Source organism: Homo sapiens, chromosome 18, assembly GCF_000001405.40.
Source record: "Homo sapiens chromosome 18, GRCh38.p14 Primary Assembly".
NCBI classification, from domain to species: Eukaryota; Metazoa; Chordata; class Mammalia; order Primates; family Hominidae; genus Homo; species Homo sapiens.
Window position 1 is genome coordinate 53318162 of NC_000018.10, and position 26383 is coordinate 53344544.

Here is a 26383-nt window from a genome sequence, read left to right on the forward strand (position 1 = left end):
GAGATTGTAGTATGTTGTGTCTTTGTTCTCATTGGTTTCAAAGAACTTATCAATATCTGCCTTAATTTCTTTATTTACCCAGTAGGCATTCAGGACCAGGTTGTTCAGTTTCCATGTAGTTGTGTGGTTTTGAGTGAGTTTCTTAATCCTCAGTTCTAATTTGGTTGCACTGTGGTCTAAGAGACTATTTGTTATGATTTTCATTCTTTTGCCTTTCCTGAGGAGTTTTTTTACCTCCAATTATGTGGTCAATTTTAGAATAAGTGCGATGTGGTGCTAAGAAGAATGTATATTCTGTTGATTTGGGGTGGAGAGTTCTGTAGATGTCTGTTAGGTCCTCTTGGTCCAGAGCCGAGTTCAAGTCCTGAATAGCCTTCTTAATTTTCTGTCTCATTGATCTGTCTAATATTGACAGTGGGTGTTAAAGTCTCTCACTATTATTGAGTGGGAGTCGAAGTCTCTTTGTAGGTCCCTAAGAACTTGCTTTATGAATCTGGGTGCTCCTGTATTGGGTGCATATACATTTAGGATAGTTAGCTCTTCTTGTTTCATTGATCACTTTACCATTATATAATGCCCTTCTTCGTTGGGTTTTTTTTTTTTTTTTTTTGTGATCTTTGAGAAAAGCAACCCCAAGATACATAATGGTCAGATTCACCAAGGTTAAAATGAAAGAAAAGATGTTAAGGGCAGCCAGAGAGGAAGGTCAAGTTATCCACAAAGGGAAGCCCATCAGACTAATAGCAGATCTCTCTGCAGAAACACTGCAAGTCCGATAATAGTGGGGGCCAATATTCAACATTCTTAAGGAAAAGAATTGGCAACCCAGAATTTCATATCCAGCCAAACTAAGTTTCATAAGCAAAGAAGAAATAAAAGCCTTTACAAACAAGCAAATGCTGAGAGATTTTGTCACCACCAGGCCTGCCTTACAAGAGCTCCTGAAGGAAGCACTAAATATGGAAAGGAAAAACTGGTACTAGCCACTGCAAAAACATACCGAATTGTAAAGACCATTGACACCATGAAGAAACTGCATCAACTAATGGGCAAAATAACCAGCTAGCATCATGATGACAGGATCAAATTCACACATAATAATATTAACCTTTAATGTAAGTAGGCTAAATGCCCCAATTAAAATATACAGACTGGCAAATTGGTTAAAGAGTCAAGACCTATTGATGTGCTATATTCAGGAGACCCATCTCACTTGCAGAGACACACATAGGCTCAAAATAAAGGGCTGGAGGAATATTTACCGAGAAAATGGAAAGAAAGAAGAAAAAAAAGCAGGGGTTGCAATCCTAATCTCTGATAAAACAGACTTTAAAGCCACAAAGATCTAAATTGCTTTCTAATGATAACTTCAAGTTGTTAGCAGACTTTGCTTTGCTTAAAACAGGTATATCAGTCAGATTTTCACCAGAGAAAGAAAGCCAGCAGGAAATACATACTAAGAAAAGTATTGCAAGGAATTGGTTTAAGTGGTTATGATGGCTGGCCAGGCAATTCAAAAATCACTGGGCAGGCCATTAAGAGGGGCAGGCTGGAGCTCTCAAGCTAAGTCCACAGCCATGGCAGGGCAGAAGTTCTGCCTCAGGGCAGCCTCAGTTCTGCACTTAAGGTCTTTTATCTGAATGAATCTGGGCCATCCAAATAGATTACGGCAATATCTCTTAGTTAAAGTCAACTACATATGGACTTATTCCCATCGACAAAATACCTTCACAGTAATACCTCAGTTAGTGTTGGATTGAATAACTGGGTGCTGTAGCCACCTAAGTTGATACATATAACTGACCATCACAGAGGATATTTCAAATCAATCACTGGAGACAGTATTGACATGATTGTTTATTCATTTTAAAGAAAAATGAAGTTAAACTTCTACATAACGCAAGAGTACTTTTTTTTTTTTTTTTTTTTGAGATGGAGTCTCACTCTGTCACCCAGGCTGGAGTGCAGTGGCATGGTCTCTGCTCACTGCAAGCTCTGCCTCCCGGGTCCATGCCATTCTCCTGCCTCAGCCTCCCGAGTAGCTGGGACCACAGGCGCCCACCACCACTCCCAGCTAATTTTTTGTATCTTTAGTAGAGACGGGGTTCCACCGTGTTAGCCAGGATGGTCTCGATCTCCTGACTTTGTGATCCGCCCGCCTCGGCCTCCCAAAGTGCTGGGATTACAGGCATGAGCCACCGCGCCCGGCCAAGAGTACATTTTTGATGGATTAGAACTTTATTTTAAATAAGAGCATTATGAAAGTCATAAGCTGTTATGAGTAGGTAACCATTTCTTCTCAGAGTTCTCTCCCTATTAATTTTTTAATTTCCCAGAAAATCTCTGTAACCCCTCTGCCTCTGTAATCAACAACAGTGCCTACTAAATGGTGAAAAAGATGAACAAAATTAGATCAATACCATGTTAACAAATCAAAGTGAGCACGAGCCTACTTAAGGAATGACAAAGGCCTTATGTTGGAAGCATCTCTTTGCCATCTTGTTGATGTGGTTGAATGCTGTATATTAACCTAATGTTTTCTTTATGTTAAGTTTTAGTTTTAGTGGATTTTTCAAGTATTGTTTTGTGTGTGCATCTTCCCTGCTTCAGGTACTATTGTGGGCCCTATGAATATGCAATTAAAACCTGAATAATATTAATAACAAAGATAAGAGCACCAATGATAGTCTCAATATATGTCTTCATGGAGCTTCTAGTCTATTTTATAAAATTAGAAGCTTCTTTAGAGGACAGAAATTTGTGTTATAGATATTATGTAGGTGAATTTATCAAATGGTCTAATAGTACCGTCTATTGAAGGCAACTGTTTGTTCCTTGACAATAACTAATCCTTTCTAACCATTATTTAAAATACCATCTCCTATTAGTAGTAAGTTTGAATTCCCCTTACTACTAAGTATTCATCTTCCTATGCAAAAAATCTTCAAATATGTAATTTTGTACATGAGCGTAATTACTTTTATTATGCATTTTTTTCTTGACACCAAATATTTGCACTATTTCAGATGAATGGGGGATAACAGTTACATTTTTATCTTTATCAGCGTTGTTTAATTCCTTGAGGTTTAAGGACTTGATCATTTAGTCTGAGTCTCAAAAATGTCCTATGGTCTTTTCACAAATATCATTTATTTTACAATAATTTATCATGTTAATGAGCTACTTTCAGCTTTTTGTAAGAGGAAAGTCACTTACATCAAAAATTTTCATATATCAGATAAATGATCCATGTGGTCTCTCTAGTTTACCTATGTTCTCTGTGCGTTTTGAAATAAGCCCTAATGTGATCATTGTGCACAATATTATGCCAAAATCATCATAGGGATTGATTTTCTATATCTCTTGTGTGGAAGCTAATGCAAAACAAAATATTCTTGAAAGATGGTTTTAAGAGACAAAAGCCCTAATATTTTCTTCTGAAGTGCATTTTCTTTGGATTCTTGATTTTTGGCCTAAAGAAAACATAATCACAGACCTTGAATGAATGATGGAGACATAAATTTTTAGATTGACTGTTCTTGATTTATAGACGTGGATCTTCTGAACAGTAAGGAAAAATTATCCATGTAATTTTTGATTATTTCTTCATCATTTATATTTTATATTCTGCATCTGCCCTGAGGCTATTTACATGGACACATTTTTATAAACTGGAAAAAAACTCATAAGAATGTATAAAAATTAATTTGATTTCTTGCTATGATATTTCTACCCTTTTAGTCAAAATAATCATTACCACAACAGTCACAAACAATGTAAAGCATGTCCACTATTGTTACAATTTTGCTGAAGCTTTTGGAAACCCAGGTAGGAATACTTGGTGCATAGTAACTTTCTTCCCCCCTGTGGAAAATTCTTTCATAGGACTGGAGAAAGGAAGTCAGTACAGTTTCCAGGTGTCAGCCATGACAGTCAATGGTACTGGACCACCTTCCAACTGGTATACTGCAGAGACTCCAGAGAATGATCTAGATGGTAAGACTTTTTCCCAGTTACTATCACTCTGATTATCTTCTTGTTATCTCAGCTTCAAAAGGTCTCTTAAAAAAGGAATGAACTCCAACTTTGGGGACATTGATTCTTACTATATGTTCACATGCAAAACACAACAGGGAAACATTAGTGAATACATAGTCTTCAACAATGCCATGTAAATAATGCCAGACCATGAATGACATAGCATTGATTATGCAATAATCATGGTCCTCAAAACAAGTTACTTGTTTTCAAGATCATCTGAAATAAGATATTTTCTATTTATTTTATTTTGAATAACTGACCTTAACCATTTCGTTCACAAGAATTAGTGTAATTTATAATAGTAATCATGAACTATAACTATATAATATAGCTTCTCTTGCTTTTTTATGAGGCTTTTGAAAAACATCTATATGTATTTTTTTACTTGCTTATGATATTATCATTACCTTTTCTTGGTATAAAAGACAACTTACTTTATTTGCTTAGCTGATAGTTGTCCTGAAACATTTATCAGTAGGATATTAGGATTCATATAAGATTTATATATTAATAAATTAAATATAAGCATAATCCTCAAAATTAGCAAATGAGAAATTGCTCTGGAAATAAAAACATCATGACTAAATTTTTAAAATAAAATTTAAAATGAATGGGTAATGAAGTGACAGAATAAAACATTAAATAATAAAGCAGAAATATATAGAATTAGAGTTAGAAATTTAAAAGGTAAGAATTCATAAAAATGAGAGGTCCTTGGAAAAGAAGTAAGATATGATAAGTATTCTTAAATCTAAGTAATCAAAACTAGTGTCAATTAAAGGTAGATGTAAAGATAAACTCGTATGTATTGAAAATGTGACAGCACAAGATAATTGCCTATTATATCTAACAATGAAATTCTCTTACTCCTTAACTGATACATCTGAAATTATTCCAGTAAAAATTGAGAGTAAAAACTCTATATTCCTTTCTTTTCCCTTCCGTTTTTAAATCTCTCTTTCCATGTCTTCCTCACTTTAACTCTTTTCCTAGTTCTTGTATTACTTTCTCATGTCATCCTTCCTCTTTCTTGAACTCCTCCATCTCATTCTCTTTCTCCTTTGTCTTCCTCTTTTTCTCTTTTTGAATACCTCACTATCATTAATGATTTTTCTATAGCCACAAATTTGGTTTTACTAAAATAATTATGGTAGCATTAAACAATCAACAGTTGATATTTCCATAATAATGTTAATCTCTGCCATGTGACTGCATATTAATTCAAAGAATGTTTATAGAAGTCTTACTAAGCATCAGGCACCATGCTGAGCTTTGATACAATAATAACTAAGAAACACTTGGTTCTTTTCTCATGGAGCTTGGAGAATAGCAAAGAAAGACAGACATTTTAGGTGAAGTATAGGAAGTTGCCATTGTTGTAGTTAAAACCTGATTGGGTACTTGAAAACTACAGTTCAACTTAGGATGGGTGGATGGATGGATGGATGGATGGTGGTTGGTTGGTTGGATGGTTGGATGGTTGGAAGGTTGGAAGGTTGGATAGATGGATGGATGGATAGACCATCAGGCAAACAGACAGACTTGCATTTAAATTGAGACCTGAAGGATGAATAAGAATTAGGTATGCAAAAATACATTGGCGATTGAGGGGAAGGAATAGTGAGTAAGGTAAATGTGGTTTTTAAAGTCAAGACAATGATGCTGTTTGGGGACTGAAAAAGGCCATCAAGAATGAAACACAGAGTTGGCATATGATGAAGTTTGTAAGATAAGCAGGTTCCAAATCTGACAAGACAAAGTTAAGAATTTTAAACATTGTCTAAGGATGTCTAAGTCAATAACTTACTTTGTTTTAAGCAAGTCCTCAAAGGTTGATTTAAAAAAATAGTGAATTAATTAGAATTGCATTTTGTAGAGATTACTCTGGCTGAAGCATGCACACACAAAAAAGTATTCTAAGTAGGCAAACCCAGGCAATGACTTTAAGACAACCCTAGAGGTAATATAGGAGTTTAAAAAAAGTAACTTGAGGCTTAGAGATATTATTTAACTTGTCTTAGGTTATATAATTGAAAAGTTGTGGAGCTAGAAAAAGTCACATTTCACAGAGTTCATACCCATCACTAATAGCTTAGAAAACTTTCATTCATGTGTTTATTCAACTTACATTTCTTATTAAAGGTCTATATATGCAAGATATTACCTTAGGTACTAGAGATAAAACAATAAATAAAGTCTATACACCCAAGGAGTATAAGTTGTATTCAGATGGAGGTAGATAGTGATAGGTGCTCTGAAGAAGCATGGTAGAGGGGATAGCAAGGATTAGAAACTACTGCTTTATATAAGGAACTGAGAAAATCTTTCTGTTTAGATGAAACATGAACCCAGACTTTAAGGAAGTGAAGGGGAAGCCATGCGAATAGGTCAGACTAGAGCCCTTCAAGTAGAAGAAAAATCAAGAACAGTCATCCTGAATAGAGCCTAATTGGTGATTGAGATATATATGGCAAGAAGGATGCCAAAGTCATGAGGTTATAATTTGTCTTATGTAAAAAAATAGAAGAGTGGTCACAATAAACTATATAAATAGTTATTTTTTTCTATTTTAACTTATTTACCTAAGAATTAAGCTTCAAATTTTATAGATTTATGTTTTATCCTTTCATCTACCCTTATGAAGTATACATTATTAGCCTTATTTTATGGGAGACTAAGTTAAGCTATGAAAATTTAACTAACTTAATCAAGTAGTCAGCTAGCAACTGTGGAGCTCAAAATTAGGTTTTGAGGCCAAGGCAGGTGGATCACTTGAGGTCAGGAGTTCAAGACCAGCCTGGCCAACATGGTGAAACCCCGTCTCTACTAAAAATACAAGAATTAGCTGGGCGTGGTGGTGCATACCTGTAATCCCTGCTACTCAGGAGGCTGAGGCAGGAGAATTGCTTGAACCCGGGAGGCAGAGGTAGCAGTGAGCCGAGATTGTGCCACTGCACTCCAGCCTGTGAGACAGAGCAAGCAAGACTCCATCTCAAAAAAAAAAAAAAAAAAAAAAGTTTTATGCTTTGAGGTCCAGTGTAGGTGATCAGAGAAAAGCCTCCACTAATCCTGTAGAAATGACTTGATGACCATAAACACAGTGATTCAAGGCAAACAAACGATTCTAAGAAGTGAGATCACGTTATTTACCCAAACCTAAGGGGTTATATCTCTTACTGGAAGGAGAGAAAATAAATGAAGCAGAGGTGCTGAAGGTCTTACAAAATATCCAGAATGAAACAGACGCTCTACTTGACTTATGTGCTCTTTTTCCTGACTCTGAATGAGTCACAACTTAAGTAGAACCAAAATATAAAGTCACCACTTATTAGAAGACACAAAATTTTTCATTTAACTCCATGTTTTTCATATCAATGCAGTCTAACTGTAATCCAATTTATACATCTATTTCAATCAAGAATCTCTATGCCATGCTCATGAGAGTCTTAATAAATGCTTTTAATTGGATTTGTTTGAACTTTTCTATGCTCTTGGCTTAATAATGGCCCTCTTGTACATGCAACATTCCTTCTTTTTCTTTGGGTATGGTTGTAATTATTACAAAATATGGTTTAAGAATTTACCGTGTGCTGAATCATGGGGAGTACAAACATGAAAACAGCAAGAACAGCTCTATTGAGAACCAGACAGATAATGGCTGCACTGATTAGAAAAGATTTCATAAAAACACGTAGAACTTGAACTACAAACTTCAGAGAAAGGGGGTTCTGACAGCTAGGATTGTAAGGAAGTGTGTGTAGGACAGCATAGAAGACATTTTTCAAGGAAATATTGCCTTGAGAAAATGATTTCTGCCACTATTAATTCAAAATGCATCCTCACTCATCCAACTGTTACTCCCTTACCAGTCAATTGTCAAAACATATTTCCACACAAATATCAACTTTTTTCTCATTCTCTTATGTTTTCTTATGGATGAGAATTGCAAAGACAGTCTTATCCTTTCCTGTGATATACACATAAGCAATCTGAAAAAGATAAATAAAAAATTAATAGAAGAAAGACAGTAGAATTGATACTTCTTGCACAAAATGCTGTTACACGTTATGATTTGAGATTGTTCACATTTAGACATAATGAAAACTGAAAGCCATTTCAGAGCATTTAACTGCATAAATATGTGGGATGTGTATGTTTTACTTGCTGTAAAAAATTGATAATACCAAAGGCCTTCTCAATTTATTGATCCATGATCACTTTCAACTGTGATACTTCCTCAAAGTGATTTTGGTTTCCTTTCTTTCCTTCTGGTTTTCTTCTTTTGATTGCACCATTCATATATTAAAAAGTGTAACCCTTGATGGAAATTAATATTTGAAGGAATGAACAAGATCAATAGTGGTCACTGGTAGGTACAAAAGAACATTCAACCTGCTAGTTTGCTCTATTTTTAAAAAGATTTCCTTAAATATTCATCTCATTTTAATGTATTTGTGTAAATGTTTAAATCATAAAATAAGGTATAAATGACTTGCACCAAAAGTTTCTTGGCTAATGTTGGAAAGCTTTGGGTCCTAAATTTTGAGTCCTAACACTCTGAAGTGAGAAATTTCCATATAGAATTGCTTTGATCTCCCAAAAATTAAGGATAAGGAGAAAAAGCAATCATTTTAAACCACATGAAATGGGAGGCATTCTTTGCTGTAGCTGAAGATATCTGTGTTGGAAGGTAACTGCATCATTAGGCCTCTCTGGATGCATTATGTTGTATAACTTACCCCCCTGCTTCAGAGCCTGATGGTGATCGCCAAGAGAATGATCTACTCATTACTGCATAACTCTGAGCCCTGCAAGTCAGCTAAACAGAAACAGTGCTATTTGCAGATTGTTAAAGGAAACCCCTGCCTCCTGTGACTTCTGTAGTTCCTCTTGCCTTCTCAACTTGGCTTAAGCATTGTGAAGATAACTGTAGCTTGGAGAAATACCCCAAGTCCTCTTGGATTGCCCTTTTAATTAGATGTTTTGTTAAAGTAATTATAAAACCAAACCACATTGTTTGTTCAGCGTTCCCTGGAAAGCACGTTGCTATTACTGACAGCTGGGAAGTTTTAAAATATTTATTTTGTGCCTCAAAATTTCAGCTTAAAAAAAAAAGCAAACCAAGATCATTAGAATTCCCTAGGGTTTTCATGTAAATGTCTTGCATAAAGAAATGAGAGAATTTGTGATAGAGTGATAGAGTTCAACAAAGTATCCTTCAAGAAACTGAGCTTGGAAATCTGTTTATGATACTTTTGTTTTTGGAGTGAAGAGGTGAAAATTGCTATACGCTATCAATAATCATGTGATTTAAAATCGACTCTCTACCCTGAAGTGGAGGAGTTTAGCTATCAAAAGTCGGCAGTGCAGACTTAAGAAAGTGCAACAGTGATGCAGCAAAAAAATGTGAATCTAGGAGCTGGCCCTAATTTCTTGCCCCCAGGAAATAGGTAATCAGCCTTATTAACCCAAACTGGTAATAAATGGGTTCGCTGCAAATTCATTTCATTTAAGAATTGGGGTAAGGAGTGCGATTTACACCAGTGAGCAAAAGAATGTGTTCTTCTGGTGATTTCACTTGATGCTCATATGGGATTTGGTGTGCACAGAGGAGTGAAGGTGGCATGTCATAGAATAGATTTTCTTTCTTGTACTTTTGATAGGGACCATTTATGATATTCTGTGATTTATGATATGCTATGATTTATGATAATTGACAGATAGGCTTGGGGAATTTGATGGACCAGTGGTACAGTAGCTATTCCACTGTGAAATTTAAGACTCAGCCCCTTATTACCATTCAAGTGGATTTCATCTTACACATAAGGAGCATAGCAGGCAAAGCAAAAACTGATTTTTAAAAGCAATATGGTATCTGTTTCAGTTCCGGTGCAAGTGGTTGTTCAGAATCTCAAAGTTCCACTGTACAAAGGATGGCACAGGTTGCTTTGACTTAGATAAAAGTTCAGTGAAGTTGCAAGTATTTTACTTGGTTATAACAAACTTTAATGTGCCCATGGAATGTCTGATCCTTCTATGAGTTGCTTGACTTTTTTCTAAGTACCATGTAAAGGATCAGGTGGGTTTTGCAGTCTTAATGACTAGGTTTGGATCCAGCTCCATTTACCCTATATTCTTGGGCAAATAACTTTCCCATGCCTTGGTTTTTCTCATGTGTAAAGAGGGCATAACAACAGTATCCATCACAGTGGGTTTTTGTGAGAATTAACTATGATAATGGCAACAAAGTGCTCAACAGTGTGTTGTTCTTCTGATTTTTCTGGTTTTGATACATAAGAAGATCTCAGACTTTGACTGTTGTGTTGTTGTTGTTGTTGCTGCTGCTGTTTTAGACAGAATCTGGCTCTGTCACCAAGGCTGGAGTGCAATGGTGTGATCTCGGCTCACTGCAACTTTCACCTCTCGGGTTCAAGTGATTCTCCTGCCTCAGCCTCCTGAGTAGCTATGATTACAGGCATCCACCACCATGCTTGGCTAATTTTTGTATTTTTAGTAGAGACAGGGTTTCACCACGTGGGCCAGGCTGGTCTTGAACTCCTGACCTCAGGTGATCTGCCTGCCTCTTGAACTCCTGACCTCAGGTGATCTGCCTGCCTCAGCCTCCCAGAGTGCTGAGATTACAGGCATGAGCCACTGCACCTGGCCATGACTGCAGTTCTTTCTGACAGTAATATGAAATACTCAGACCATTGGTTTTATGAAACTTCTCCTTGTTCATGATGGTAAAGCTTTGTTGTCTACATTTAGGGAACAGATGTATCCATTTCTGTTACAAAAGGAGAGTGTACATTCAGTACATCTTAAAAGCCCATCATCTAATTAAGGTATAATTTAATGGGGCATCATATAATTATAGCAATAGATTGAAGAGGGCGTTTTGTGGAATTAGGCAGTTTTTTAAAAAAATATTATAGGAATATAAGCAAGCTTTCAAAATTGTATTGTTTTTGCAAAAAACTAAAACATTATGCCAAATGGTAAAATACTAAACACATTTGTTTTAAGATCCAAACAAGCTTAAAAACTTCCTACAATTTCTGTTATTAAAGAAGATAGAGGTTTTGGCAAGAAAAACTTTAAAAATTCATAACATTTTATTACAAAAGGAAAGAAATCTTATTATTATAAATGGTGTTATTGAATATTTGAATATTACAAGACACTGCACTAAAAACCTATTAGAGCTAATAAGAGAATTTAATAAGGTTGTATGTTTCAAAAACATAGCTTTTCTTTATAGTAGCAATAATTAGTTTAAACATTGAAAAGAAAGGCATTTATAAAGCAACCTAAAATATAATATCTAGGACTAAATTTAACAAGATGTAAACAAATGTATATCATAAAAAATACAACATTTTACTAAAAACTATAAAAGACATGAGTAAATAGCAAGTTACATATGTTCCTGGATGAAAAAACTGATCATTATTACATTAGTTATTTCCAAATCAATGAATAATTTTAGACAATTCTAATCAGAGTAAATTTTAAATGATTAAGGATTTTCTGGGGTGGAAAAAGAAATTTATATGGAAGAATAAATGTAAAAGAATCCCAAGAAATTTTGGAAAAGGATAATAAAAACGTTTACTATAAAGCCTGATTTAGAATCAGCATAGTACTATCTGGCATTGGAATGGACAGATAAATGTAACAGAACATAGAAACAGCCCCTATCTAGGTATATTTGAGAAATAAATATAAAAATAAAGCTAGCTTCTCAAGCTGCAGATTAGTTACTAAATAGTGTGAAACTATTGCCAGTACTTTTAGCAGAACAGAAAATGTTTTTCTTCTCTTACATCAAACTAGTTGACAGTGGTTGATTCTGGTGATGGAACTGAAGGCAAAGGAGGGTAAAGTCATCACATCTTATATAATTCAAAACTGGAAAGGCCCCAGGTGGCTGTAAGGATTTTGTCATCATTTTTTCTTCAGGTATTTTTAAATATAACAAAGATGGGTGACTCAACCACAAGTCTTTTTATACAATTGGAGGTTTTGAGCTGATCTTTCAAAGTATCATTTCCCTTAAGATTGATTGTATTCTTCACTTTGTGACTAGTACCAATAATCACTTGTCATCCAAGCCAAAAGCCTCCCTATCACCCTCAACTCCATTTCACTCCCTGTCAATATCCATTCAATCACCAAGATCTGTAATTTCTACCTTCAGAATGGATTTGGAATCCATCCTCCCTTCTCCACACCCACCACCACACTTTATGTCAGGCTCACATCATTTGTCACCTGAAAGTAGCCTCAGGTTTGCTATTTTTCTGGATACCTGTTTGCTCTCCCTCCTCTCTAGACCCCATAGTGTTGTCAGAGTGATTTTTTCAGAACCAGATATGACGATGTCAGTTCGCTGCTCAGATTCTTCTCCATGTGGTCCTTCCCTCAGCCTCAAGTGTGACATCCCATCCTGCCTGCCTACCTGCACTGCCCTCCAGGTTCACTTCCTCAGCTGCATCCTGGATCAAGCCTTTGGACTTAGCAAGCTCTTTACCCAAGTGTATTTTCACATATATTTCACACCTGCTTGTCCTTTAAAACTCACTAGATGTTTTACTTCTAGGAAGCTTTCTCTTATCTGAGTTTCACTCAGATGTCTTTTCTCTAAACACATTTTGACACTCTTCTCAATAGACTTGAAACAAAGACCATGCTTTGTCTTGAACTTCTCGATATTTCACACAGTGCCTGCTACATAGTACTCAATAATAAGTGGATGGGTGAATGTAAAATATTCATAGCTGGGTATTTGTGTGAAATGTGTAACACTTACATAGTTTGATTCTTCACTGATTTTCATCCTTACATACGAACTCTAATTTCAGATAAATGAGCTAGAAACATCCATTGCTCTCTGTTGTATTTTTTCATAAATGTAGAATGCATCCTATTATGCTTATATACAATATGAAAATGAAAACCCTAGCTTTCTAGAAGACAGCTTGGCATAAGATTTTAGAGTTACAATGGTGTTTTTGTTTGTTTGTTCTGAGACAAACCAATAGGTCTGTAGTTTTGAGAGCATACGGTTTGAATCCACTTCAAGGAAAATGAGCCTAAAGAATTCATTTAGCATACCACTTGGCAAGGACTAAGATCTCTGCCTCCCCATACAGAATAAGGTTTACGGTTTGAATGGCCATGGAGATTATTCAGTGTAAGGTAGCTGATCAAATGCTTCATGGTAGAATGATACAAAGTTCTAGTGAGGTTTTGCAATAGTTGAAGCTGGTATCCTTAAACTCTAAAGTGAGAGAACAATCCCCAGATATTGAAGGGCTGGTGTCTGCAGCTGCTCCTTGAAAGCCACATCAAGAGTATTTGCTCTAACAGTCAGGATTAGGTTATCTCAGTATTTCAGGAAGTTGGCAGTGTTTAAATAAAACCAAACTTCATTGTATTTTCTCTGTATTGTGTTGGACATGCCAACCTGCTACCCTAAATATGTATCTTAACTCCCTGGTGATTCTTGTCAAATCAAGAACTTGATAGACAGAGACCACGCTTGTCTAATTTTTGGGCCAAAAAAGGGCTGAATCCTATCTGTAATCTGGAATTGGGATTCTGCAGCTTTGCTGAGCAAGAGAAAATCAAGGAAGGGAAGAATCTTGATGGTTTTGTTAGGATAAACCTTGGGCATGGCATTGAGGGTCTCTTCCCTAAAAAATACTTTACATTTTTCCCTCTTTTTCCTTTTGAGTTATAACCAATGTGAGGCAAAGGCAAGTGTACAAAGGTGCAGAGAGGATGTGGATTCTGGTGAATTATTTTAGCATCTACGTTTCTTTTCACTAGGAGTAAGCGTGTTGATATTGGGAATTGGAGGACATGGGAGAAGAAAGATTCTCCATCCTTAGATCTACCAGTTTAATTGGCTTAGATTTAGGAGACACATATTTTCAGAATTACAATTCATTGTTGTGGTTTTCAAGAAGTAGAGCTGTCAAAACTCCCTTTTAAGAGTGTTGGCTAGGTATTCATCGACTCCTGTTAGACTTCTACATTCTTTTTCTATCTAGGCAAAAAAAGTAGCTAAAAATAAAGTAAAATATGAAATAATAAGATTAGGTTGACACAAAACTATTAAGATAAATAGAAAACACATATTAAAAGTAAACAAAAAGACAAAATGCAGTTAAAAATTACAAAACAATGTTGAACTGTAAAAACTTGTGGTAGTAACAAAATTTGTAGAATAGCTAAGAGTACAAACTATATGTGAAATGCTACATGAGCAAAAATTTGTTAAATTGATGAGTATGACACATGCATAATAGGTCTCCATAAAGTTTAGTCATTATTAGGAACAAGAATAAAACCTATATGGTTTGAAAATTTTTAATGATACAAATCAATAAGTAAATATTAGTAGGAATAACTGATTTTCCATTCATGGAGGGGAAAATATTAATGTTCATTATTAAAATTAATAATGAGAGATTGGGGGAGGGCTTGACTATAAAGGGGCAGCCTAAGGAAATTTTGGCAGTGATGGGATTTTTCTGTATTATGGCAGGAGTGGTGGATACCAAAATTTTACCCATTTATCAAAACCCATAGAGCTATTACCACTAAGTAAATGTTGCTGCATATATATTTTTAAAATAAATTAAAAATGAATATTCCCAGCCTGGGCAACACAGGGAGACCCCATTTCTACAAAAATTTTCTTTTAAAAATTAGCCAAGTGTGGTGGTGCATGCCTGTGGTCCTAGCTACTCAGGAGGCTGAGGTGGGAAGATCACTTGAGTCCTAGAGGTCAGGGCTGTAGTGAGCTAGCATTGCGCTACTGCGCTCCAGCCTGGGTGACAGAGTGAGAACCTGTCTCAAAAAAAAAAAAAAAGGAGAATATTGACAAAATATTAGAAATAGGATGGTAAAAGAATACAAAGTAGAGTTCAGTGGTGAATAGAAGTGGTTGTCCACTATGATAAATACACAAACAGCCTTTAAAGTTTATAGAGGTGAGCGGCCTAAGGGAAGTGATGTCCTTTGGTGAGAACAGGCCCTGTCTATAGAAATGAACACATTTGTAAGCATCAGACATGCCTGGAAAGGCAGAGTGTGGGTATATCAATTGCCTTATGTAGTTTGCTGTAAAGAAATATAGGCTATTGAGGACTAGAACAAAACTCTAACAAAATGATCCATAAAATGCAGCACGCTAAATGGAGGACAAATGTGTGAATATTTGTCAAAAGTTCCAACTGCCTGACACAACTTGACAGTGCCATCTATAGCAGGCAGTATGTGGTGGCGACTGTTTGCATTACCAAGATCTGGCACAGACAAATCTTGCTGTCCCCTAAGAGGAAAACAAAGTATCCAGTGTAGAGTAGATGGCTGGAGTGAGGTGAACGAAGGCAAAATGACAGGTGAAGAAGGTAGGAGATAAGTGGAGAGAGAGAGAGATCATTTATGGCCTTTTAGGCCATTGTAAAGAACATGGCCTACAATGTGGTTTGAGAACACCTTGGGGGGTTTTGAGCAGAGCAATAACATGATCTTAATTGCAGTTTTCTATATACATGCTCACACTATATCTGTATTCATACACATTTATTTTAAATACCACATATATGCTGATGGCTTCCACATCTGTGTATATCTAGCCATGACCTTTCACCAAAATCCCAGACTTACATACCCAACTACTTCCTTGAGATAGCCACAGGTTTGACTAATAGGCATCTCACATTGAACATGACCCAAGGAAATCTCACCTGTGTTTCCTCATTTCAGTTCATCAACCAACAGTTACCAAGTCAAAGACCTATGGGTTATGATTAAATCTCCCTTTTCCTGCACCACTCACATCTACTCTATAGCTCTGTTAACTACACATTACAAATGTCCTAAATCTATCCACTTTATATCATCTTCACAACAGCCATCTAGACAAGAGCAAAAGCAATTTTATGGTCTCCATGTTTCATTCTATGCTTCCTCTCCAAACTTCTTTTTCACCCAGAAAAATAGAGTGATCTTTCAGTAATATCAATGAGACCACACTTCACACCTCCATTCCTGCCAGTCAAGACCATTTAAGATCTTCTCCTTCTACTTAGAATAAAACCTAACTTCTTACTTATCTTGACTTGCCTTGCCTATAGTAACCTGGTCTGTAAGTGACTCACTCTTTTTTTTCTGTTTTTGTAATTGTTTACAATTATGGAAAAATAGACAAAACCTTAAATTTACCATCCTAACAATCTTTAAGTATACAGTTCAGTGGCATTAAGCACATTCATGTTGTCATGCAGCCATCACCACCACCCATCTCCAGAACTCTTTTCATCTTGCAAAAGTGAAGTGCTGTACCCATTAAATAATAACTGCCAACCTCCCCAACCCCCAGCCTCTGGCAACCACCATTCTCTTTTCTGTCTCCATGAATTTAACTTCCCTGGGTACCTCATAAAAGGAGATTTACACAGTTTTTGTCATTTTGTGATTGGCCTATTTCATTTACCATATCATTGCCAAGGCTCCTGCATCTTGTAGCGTGTCTCAAAAATTCAATTGTTTCCTTTTTAGAGGCCAAATACTATTCCATTATGTGTATATACCACATTTTAAAAATGCATTTATACATTGGTGGAAACTTTGATTTCTTCCACCTTTTGGCTATTGTAAATGATGCTGCTATCAACATGGATGTACAAATATTTGTTTGAGTCCCTGCTTTCAATTCTTTTTGCATTTATACTTAGATGAGGAATTGCAGGATCATATGTTAATTCTATTTTAAATTTCTTGAGGGACCCTTATATGGTTTCTTTATAGCAGGTATACTATTGTACATTCCTACTGGCTGACTCTCTTTTTATCTTTTTCATTCTCTCTCTTACCCTTGATGTTCCAGATGTGATGATCCTCTTTGGTTTCTCTGAATACCAAACTCATCCCTGCAGTACAGCATTTGCAGTAGTTGTTTCCTCTCCCTACAGAGCTCACCACTCTGATGTTTGCTTGACTGGCCCTTTCAGGTCATCCACCTTAGACTCAAATGGGGAGAATTTCCTGGATGGGTCAGTTATTGTCCCATCAGCATAGCACTTATCAAGATCTCACGATTGTCTTATTTGTTTATTAGGACTTATGTTTTGTCTTTCCTCTCCCACCACTATATTTTTAGTACCTAGAACTACAACTAGTATATAGGAGATGCATAGTAGTTGTTGAAATGTCACAGGGATTAATATAATACATGACCGAGTATGCTGCATGTGAACATTACACATTAGTGGAAACCTGTGTAACATGTCTGCATTCATGTTACAGAGAATAACACGTCTACATATATTACATATGTTACAAAGAATAACATGCCTACATACATGTTACAGAAAATAACATGTTCTTTAGAACCAAACTATACCAAGAGAGAATCCATAATTCAATAATATAATCAAGAGTGGCAATTGACCTAGTTATTTGATCATTCAGACTCTAGTAAAAATTTGGGGCCTTGTATTAGTCTGTTTTCATGCTGCTGATAAAGACATACCCGAGACAGGGCAATTTACAGAAGCAAGAGGTTTAATGGACTCACAGCTCCACATAGCTGGGGAGGTCTCACAATCACGGCAGAAGGTGAAAGGCACATCTCACATGGCGGCAGACAAGAGAAGAGAACTTGTGCAGGGAAAGTCCCCTTTATAAAACCATCAGATCTCAAGAGACTTACTCATTATCACGATAATAGCACAGGAAAGACCGCCCCTGTGAGTTAATTACCTCCCAACGGGTACCTCCCACAACACGTAGGAATTGTGACACCTACAATTCAAGATGAGATTTGGGTGGGAACACAACCAAACCATATCAGGCTTCATTAATTTAAATATTTCAGGCAAAATGTGCTCTTTGGTTTCAAATTAACTCAATAACTACTCTACTATTCCTCTGTGCTTCATATGTGCAAGCAGCATCTTAGAGATACTTGTAAAATGTTTCATGTACTTCTGAGCAGCAAATTTCAGTTGCAGACTCCAAGCAAGTAATAGTCATATTATATATCTTCCACAGCAAATTTTCTAAATTGATGTTTTATAGTTCATTCCAGTAGTAACCACTTTCCTAATCCATAAGGTCATCTATGTTAGAGAAAAATCACTCAGGTAGCATAAAAGGAAAATTGTTATTTCTGCCTTTGTATTAAGAAGTGAGTGGGCATAAATTGGCTATCATGGATTATGAACAATCTCCTGGCGTAGTTATCATGATGATGAGGCCATATATTATGAATGGCTTAGGTCTAATACTACCTTGAAGGAACTGTCCTTTTGGTCCTGTGAGCTTAATTTGGTGATAAAGGGTCATTAAGGCTGGGCATGTAGACTCACATCGATAATTCCAACACTTTAGGAGGCCAAGGCAGGTGGACTGCTTGAGTCCAGGAGTTCAAGACCAGCCTGAACAACATAGCAAAACTCTGTCTCTACAAAAACATAAAAATAAAATAAGTAGATAGATAAATACATTAGCTGGGCGTGGTGGCACATGCCTGTAGTCCCAGCTACTAGGGAGGTTGAGGTGGGAGGTTGGCTTGAGTCAGAGGGTTAGAGGCTGCAATGAGCTTTGATCTCACCACTGCAATCCAGCCTGGGAGATAGAACAAGATCTTGTCTCTCTCTCTCAAACACACAAAACTAATTAGGATTTAGATGAAGAGGCAACATATCTTCTTACGTACTAACATTTTTTTTCTAATGTTAAAAATTATTTTGAGGCTTGCCTCTAGGATTGAAACATTTTCATGCAGTGAAGGATAAAGTGGAGTCTTACGTTCTTCAAGAGCCAGTTGGTGTACACATTACAATGATATGTTTAAAGCTCCGATGAATAAAATTGTGTAGTTACTAACTTAACCAATTTGCAAGAGAACTATTCTATGGTTTGCAGAAATATTAAGAAATAGTTACTGTTCTGAAAACATTTTTAACAGTTGAACAGTTTTTCCTTTTATTCTAAAAGATGTTAAATATTGTCATTAAAATCATTATGATTTCATATTGCTTTTAAAAAGTCATAAATGCAGAAGATCTAGTTTATTTTCTTAGTGTACGATTAGGCAGATTATCTTGTTGTTTTAATAGTTAGTGCAAACACTTCAAATATGCTAAACAGAACTGACTGAGAGTCCATTACATTTCAAGGGCACTGGTGAGACTGTGGCAGTAGGGTTGAAAACTATTAATCCATCCTTTTCATCTCTTTTATTACTTTTACTTAGAGTTTATATTAGGAAATATTTCACAAACATTGTGTTTCTGCTGTTAAGGCTTATATCCACGTTTTGAGACATAATTTTTTTATGATGTCTTTGCATATTATATCATAGGCTTTTTTAGGGCAGACTAATAATAGCTTTCCCTTTTTGCCCACAAAGGGCCATCTTTGGGGGAAAAAAAAGCATCTTTAGAAAATTCTGTCGATGTGGCAACTTTAGAATCTTTTGAAAAGCTTTAGAATCTTTTGAAAATGTTACCTATTTTGAAAACTTTAATAAGAACATGCTTCTATCTATCACTTAAGCTAGAAGTGGGAATGCTGCATATGGATAAAAGTGGAGGGGGCTGTGCCAGTTTTTGGTACTACATTAAGGAGAAAAATGTAATATTACCTCTAGTCATCAGATTTCCTTGCATAATTTGGCATATGTTACCTTCAGAGATTTTCTAAATCACTGGACACAGACATTTCTGGAACATAAATAATGAACAGAATCACTTTAATAAAATTCAAATCACTGATATTTTTGAGTACTTATTAATTGCCAAGAACTGTGTTAAGCACTTATTGAAGTTTGGATGGGCACATTCTTTCTTACATATCTTTGCATAATACTTCCCTGATTTTCAAAGAATAGGTTACATGTGCTTGTATTTAGCCAATCAAAATATTTACCATAATCTATCGTAGCTGCCTTTTTACTTGCCTGTTTCTCATTAGACTATAAACTCCAATAGTGCAGGTTTAATGTCTGCCATATTTGTTCTTCCTGTATCCTGAACATTACAGGCACCTAGGCTCACACCTCAAACATAATAGTTGTTGTATAAATATTTATTAATTGGCTGGGCACGATGGCTCAAGCCTGTAATCCCAGAACTTTGGGAGGCCAAGGCAGGTGGATCACGAGGTCAGAAGTTCAAGATAATCCTGGCCAAGATGGTGAAACCCCGTCTCTACTAAAAATACAAAAATTAGCCAAATGTGGTGGCAGGCACCTGTAATCTCAGCCACTTGGGAGGCTGAGGCAGAGAATTGCTTGAACCCAGGAGGCGGAGGTTGCAGTGAGCCGAGATCGTGCCACTGCACTCTAGCCTGGGCGACAGAGTGAGACTCCGTCTCAACAAATAAATAAATATTAATTGAATAATGATCAGTGTCCAGAAAAAAATATTTTTTTAAGACTAGGAAACAGCGAAGAATGACAACATAAAAATCAGAACAATTTATTATTAAAACATATTAATTTTCAACACACAATCCCTTTAAAAGAAAATATATGTCAGGGTGGCATGCACATTCTCTTTTTAATATCTAGCAATATTTGAGAATTTATTTGCTACTCATAATGGGTAAGTTTGCATGAATTATCTCATTAAATCTTTTCAACACCATACCTTCATTCTACAGGTAGGGAACTGAGGCTTAGAGAGGATAAATGATATCTCAAAATCTCACAGACAGTGAGTATACAATACAAGTTTGAACTCTGCTCTTTCTTACTTCCCGAGCTCAAGCTTTGAGTCAATCAATATTTGGAATGCCAACTTAATCAGAAGGGAAACTCAGAGAAGTGAAATAATTTCATGAGGACACAGAGCTGGTAAATGACAGAACGTGGCATTAAACCAAATTTGCACAGGTCCAAAGGTTGTGAGGCTTTAATCCAGGCCACTGTCTTCTTTCTTTTAATAATAAATGCATTTTTCACTGATTTAATAAACCATGAATCAAGTACCATCCTAATCATGCTGGACAGATCATGGCCCTTAACTGTTTCTCCTGACAATTACATAAGAAAGGACTGGTTAGTTTGTTATTGTTTTTAGCTAAATCAGAGTAAATAATTATTGGATAAGACAACATTGACATTTTATTTTCCAGTCTATTATTCTTACATCTGCCTTGGTTTTCACCCTTCATTAATGATACCTAAGAAGAGATATGTAAAAAGAAAAAAAGCCCAAGTAAGACGCTATTGGAATAAAGATGCATTGATGCTACCTACCATGCCCATGGAAAGAACTCGGTATTCTTGTATGCTTAAGAAATTTTGTGAAAGTCAAATCAAACATAGAAAATATATCATATGCTAAAATAAAGAGTGACTTGGGCAATAGGTGATGCATTATTTATGCATCTATGAAATATGATTTCTCTTGCTTAAATGGTGTTCTGCCGTGCTACATTTTCTGTTATGAGACATGCTGATGATGCCTCTTTTTGAATGCTAGAATCTCAAGTTCCTGATCAACCAAGCTCTCTTCATGTGAGGCCCCAGACTAACTGCATCATCATGAGTTGGACTCCTCCCTTGAACCCAAACATCGTGGTGCGAGGTTATATTATCGGTTATGGCGTTGGGAGCCCTTACGCTGAGACAGTGCGTGTGGACAGCAAGCAGCGATATTATTCCATTGAGAGGTTAGGTGAGTATCTGTGATTTTTTTTATTCTATTAAGGGGAATTAATGATTTATTTTGAATTATTGTATTTCTTGGAAAACTGTTCCCTGGTATGATGGTTTCAACTTACAGCATGTATTAGCTCTGAAAGCAACTGTCTATCTACACACACACACACACACACACACACACATACACACACACACAGGCACACATATACATTTCTTTGAATTTGGGATTTCAGGAATTTGATCTAGAGAGATCTGTAATGGCAGTTGCTCTGGTGTGTGCCCTTGCTTATGGGTTATAGGATACAAAAAGTGCGTTGGGCCATTTTTCTTTTTCCAGTGGTCAATGGAAACTTCTGATCCTAATAATTTCTATAAAAAGAAAGTCAACACATTTTTCATCTTTGTTGTTGTCACTGGGAAAATGTTCTGTTAATTTTTCTTTAACCTTGAAATATCTAGTCATAGTGCCTTCTTTACCGTTAACATTCCAAATATGAATGTTAAAGGCTGTGTCATTATGACTGCAAAAGAAGATGAAAGAAGGAATTTTCAGTCAAGACAATACATTAGAATGATAAAACTCCATCCTGCATGTTTCCCTGCCCCTACCAATCTAGGTTCTCTTATTGTACTCAACTCAACCTCATTTTTTACTGAATACAATACTTCAGTTGTGATATTCTGAATTCATTGAAAACGTGTTCATTCAGAGAGGTCTAATGTGTGTAAAAGTGTTCATATTCATTTTAGATCTGATTTCCCATAGTGCTGTAGGAGTTTGTATTATTAACACAGAGAAATAAAGTAAATATAATATATCAGGATGCCAGTAAGTTAAACAATTTTCATAAAGCAAAATGTAAGTTGATTCTACCTGTTGATTTAATACCGTATTACATGACCCCACTGGAAATGCAGCTTGATTGGGCAGGCAGGGTGTAGGGGGTGGGGGGATCTGCTACTTATTTGCAGTGTCTCTCACAAACAGAACATTTGTGATGAGAAGCCTGATTTGAATTTGAATAGCTAAAATGCAGTAGCAAGAAAAGATTTTCTCAGTAAAGGAAGAAAATTGCACTGACCCATTCTCTCTATAATTGCTTCAAACACTAATAAGAGAAACACCTACTGGAAATCTCCACAATTTATTTAGCTTGGCGTTTAGAAATAATATTCTTTCCATCAGTTCCTGAGTTTGAATGTAAAGGCAATCACAAAACTCATATTTTATGGCTATCAAGCCTATGTCAAGGGACTCTCACTTATCCATTATTCAGCATCCACCATCTTTGACAGTTCATCTTGATGCCACTCAACAGACAGAGGGAGGGAGGTGCCCATGGCAGTAAATGGCTCCCAGGCAATGAGAATGTGCTGCAAACTCAGAAGGAAGTCAGGAGGGAAACTGCATTGTTGACCCTATCCTTTTTCTAATGATTCTCTTCGTTACCAAAAAAAACTTGCCAGAGGTCTCCAAATTTAGTCAAGTTGACGCATTTGGGAGATTAACGTTGGCAAATCTCCCCAAATGCTTAACAAGAAAAACAGAAAACTCTGGAAAATATATTCTAAAGAGCTAGGAATATTTTTAAAGGTAAATTGGGATATGAACCTGTCTCAGTAATAATTATGAGTTTGCACTCTACAACTTACCTGGAAAGAGTAATTACATACACACATAGATAGGTATGTAAGTTCTACTAGTTGATACTCTTTTAACATAGTCTCATGTGTTAATATGAAATACAGTAATTAGCATGTTGTTGTTCATTAAATATCCTCATGGTTATGCAAATGAACTGCTATTTTTCCAATATGTGTTTTCACTATTTAGCCAAAGTGTGTGTGAGAGACATACCCTAAGCTCTAATCTTTATAAAGATAAGGATTTATTCAAGTCCACGTTCATGCTGCAAATAAATCACCAATTGTTTTATTTATTCTATTGAGCATTAAAATCAACACATCAGTTTCCATAGTAACTTTTTGAGAAGGTATTTATAACTTTTTTTAATTTTTAAAGTTTTTGGAAGGCAAAGCTCTCTAGTCATTACATATACATAATAAAGAAAATGAAATTTTATGTTTTAAGGACTGTATGACAGTTATACAACTAAAAGTGAATTAAAGTAAGTTTAATTCATTTAAGCATAGGGTCAGCCATAACTTCAAGTATCATGGTTGTATATTAAACTATAAAAAAGCTATTTGTTTTATAATTGACTAATAAACCCCTTCATCTATTTCATGAGAGAGCAAGACTTCTAAACAGCATTTTATTTGCAGTTTAGACACCAGACACTGTGATCAGCTTCAGGACTGGAAATACAAGAACATTTTGAGTAATATCTAATATTACCTAATTAAAAGCAAACAAACAACTTGCCTGCTATAGGCATAGAGCTTCATTAATCAATGACTATTAAATATTTATAATTAATCTATTGACATTTTACTCCTTTTAGTTCAAGAGCCCTAGTGCCAGACTTGAAGTATGATATAGACCCAAAATTAATTTGAAACCAAACCACTTTTAAAACTCACTATCTACCTACCAATTGATCTATTTATCTATCAATTTATCTATCTTTATATCTTTATTCAGATATTATTTATATACAGTACATTGTGTACATTAAAAGTGTACTTTTTGGCATTTTTAAAAGAGCATTATTGAGGTATAATATTTGTTTAATAAAGTATATCTTTATAATTTCTCTAATTTATCTCAGTAATATTTTATAGTTTCAAATGTAAAGGTCTTCAATGTTTATGTTAAACTTATTCCTAAATACATATGTATATGTAGGAATATACATATATTAGAAATACCCAAATATATATATATATATATGGATATAAATACATATATATTTGGATATATATATTTGAATATATGAACATATATTTAGGACTGTTTAAATTATGCATATATATTTGAATATTCCTAAATATATATACATATGTATATTATATATATTTGAATTATTTTAAATAGAACTGTTTTTAAAATTTATTTTAAATAAATTTTTACTATAGTGGATTTATAGATGTATTATATAATGTATATATAGATGTATTGTGGTATTTATAAATGTGTAGAATACAAGAGATTTTTTAATGCTAACCTTGTATCCTAATATCTGCTAAATTTACCTATATATTCCATTAGTTTTTTAGATTATCTAAAATTTTCTGTTTAATCAAACATATCTATGTGAACAGAAAGTTTTATATTTAGTTTCTGATCTCTGTCCCTTTTATTTCTTTCTGTTGCCTTATTTCAGTGATTAGGATCTGTAGTAAAATACTGGATAAAAGTGCTGAAAGCAGGTATCTTTCCTTTGTGTCTGATCTTAGGAGAAAAAAATTTAGTCTTTACCATGAAATAGGTTATTACCTCTGGTCTCTTTAAGCCTTTTGTGAGATTAAAGAAATGCTATACTCTTTCTAGTTTTCTAGAAATTCTGGTCATGAATATTTGTTGAATTTTATTAGATAACTTTCTATCTTTTGAAATGAACTTTTTTTTTCTTTTTTTAAAATACGGTGAATTACATTGATTGATTTTTGAAGGGTAACCAACCTTGAATTTCCTATATAAATCCTGTGTGGCCATCATGTATTATCCTTTTCTTATGTTGTTTAATTTGATTTGTTAATGCTTATTAAGGATTTTTTGTGCCTATATTCAGTAGGTTATATATTTGTCTACAATTTTCTTTTCCTATAGTGTCTATATACTGTTTCTCTTTTACTCCAGTTAGATTGGCTCATAAAATGAGCTGGATAGTATTTACTCCCCTTCTGTTACAGAAAATTTGTGTAAAATGGATTTTATTTATTTCTTAAGTATTTTATAGATTTCACTAATGAAATCATCTGGACCTGAGATTTTTTTTATAGGAAGGCTTTGATAATAGATTTAATTTTTTATACAGATATAGGTCTGATTTGCAAACTTTCTTGTATTGATTTTGCTAAGTTAAATTTTTAATAAAATCCATCCATTTCATTTTGTCTCTTGTTGGCACAGTTATTCATAATGTTTTCTTTATCTGTTATCTATGGTTATTAACTGATTTTTCATTTCTCATATTGGTCTTTTCTTGTTCCTGTCTTTTTTTTGTGATATCTAGACAGAGATTTACTAATTTTGTTGATCTTGTCAAAGAAAGAGCCTTTGACATTACTAACTTTTCTATTATCTATCTATTTTATTTCTTTCATTTCTACTGTTATCTTGACTACTTCCCTCCTGATACTTATTTTAGTTCTGGTCTTCTCTTCTATTTCTAATTTATTGACATATGAACTTTATAATGTATACATCCATTGTTGTTCCTCTAGGTATCATTTTACTTGCATTCCACAAATTTTGATATGTTGTATTTTTATTACCATTTAGTTCAAAGCATTTCCTAATTTTCCTGTGATGTGTTATTCTCCCTAAGTTATTTAGCAAGGTGTTACTTAATTTTCAAATTTTGGGATTTTCCTAGTTATCTTGTTATTATTGGTTTTCTTTTCTTTCTTTTCGTTTTTCTTTTTTTTTTTTTTTTTTTTGAGCCACAGTCTCACTTTGTTGCCCAGGCTGGAGTGCAGTGGTGTGATCTTGGCTCACTTCTACCTCTGCCTCCCAGGTTCAAG

General features: G+C 35.0%; 1 protein-coding gene across 5 annotated transcripts in view; it reads left to right on the top strand.

The window, feature by feature from the left end:
• Positions 1-26383, top strand: part of DCC (DCC netrin 1 receptor) — a 1195703-nt gene that overhangs the window by 977965 nt on the left and 191355 nt on the right. For all 5 annotated transcript variants that reach the window (NM_005215.4, XM_017025568.2, XM_017025569.2 and 2 more), the window contains 2 exons: positions 3886-3996; positions 21552-21746. In NM_005215.4, coding sequence (NP_005206.2) covers positions 3886-3996; positions 21552-21746 — 306 coding nt within the window. The remainder of the gene's footprint in view (positions 1-3885; positions 3997-21551; positions 21747-26383) is intronic.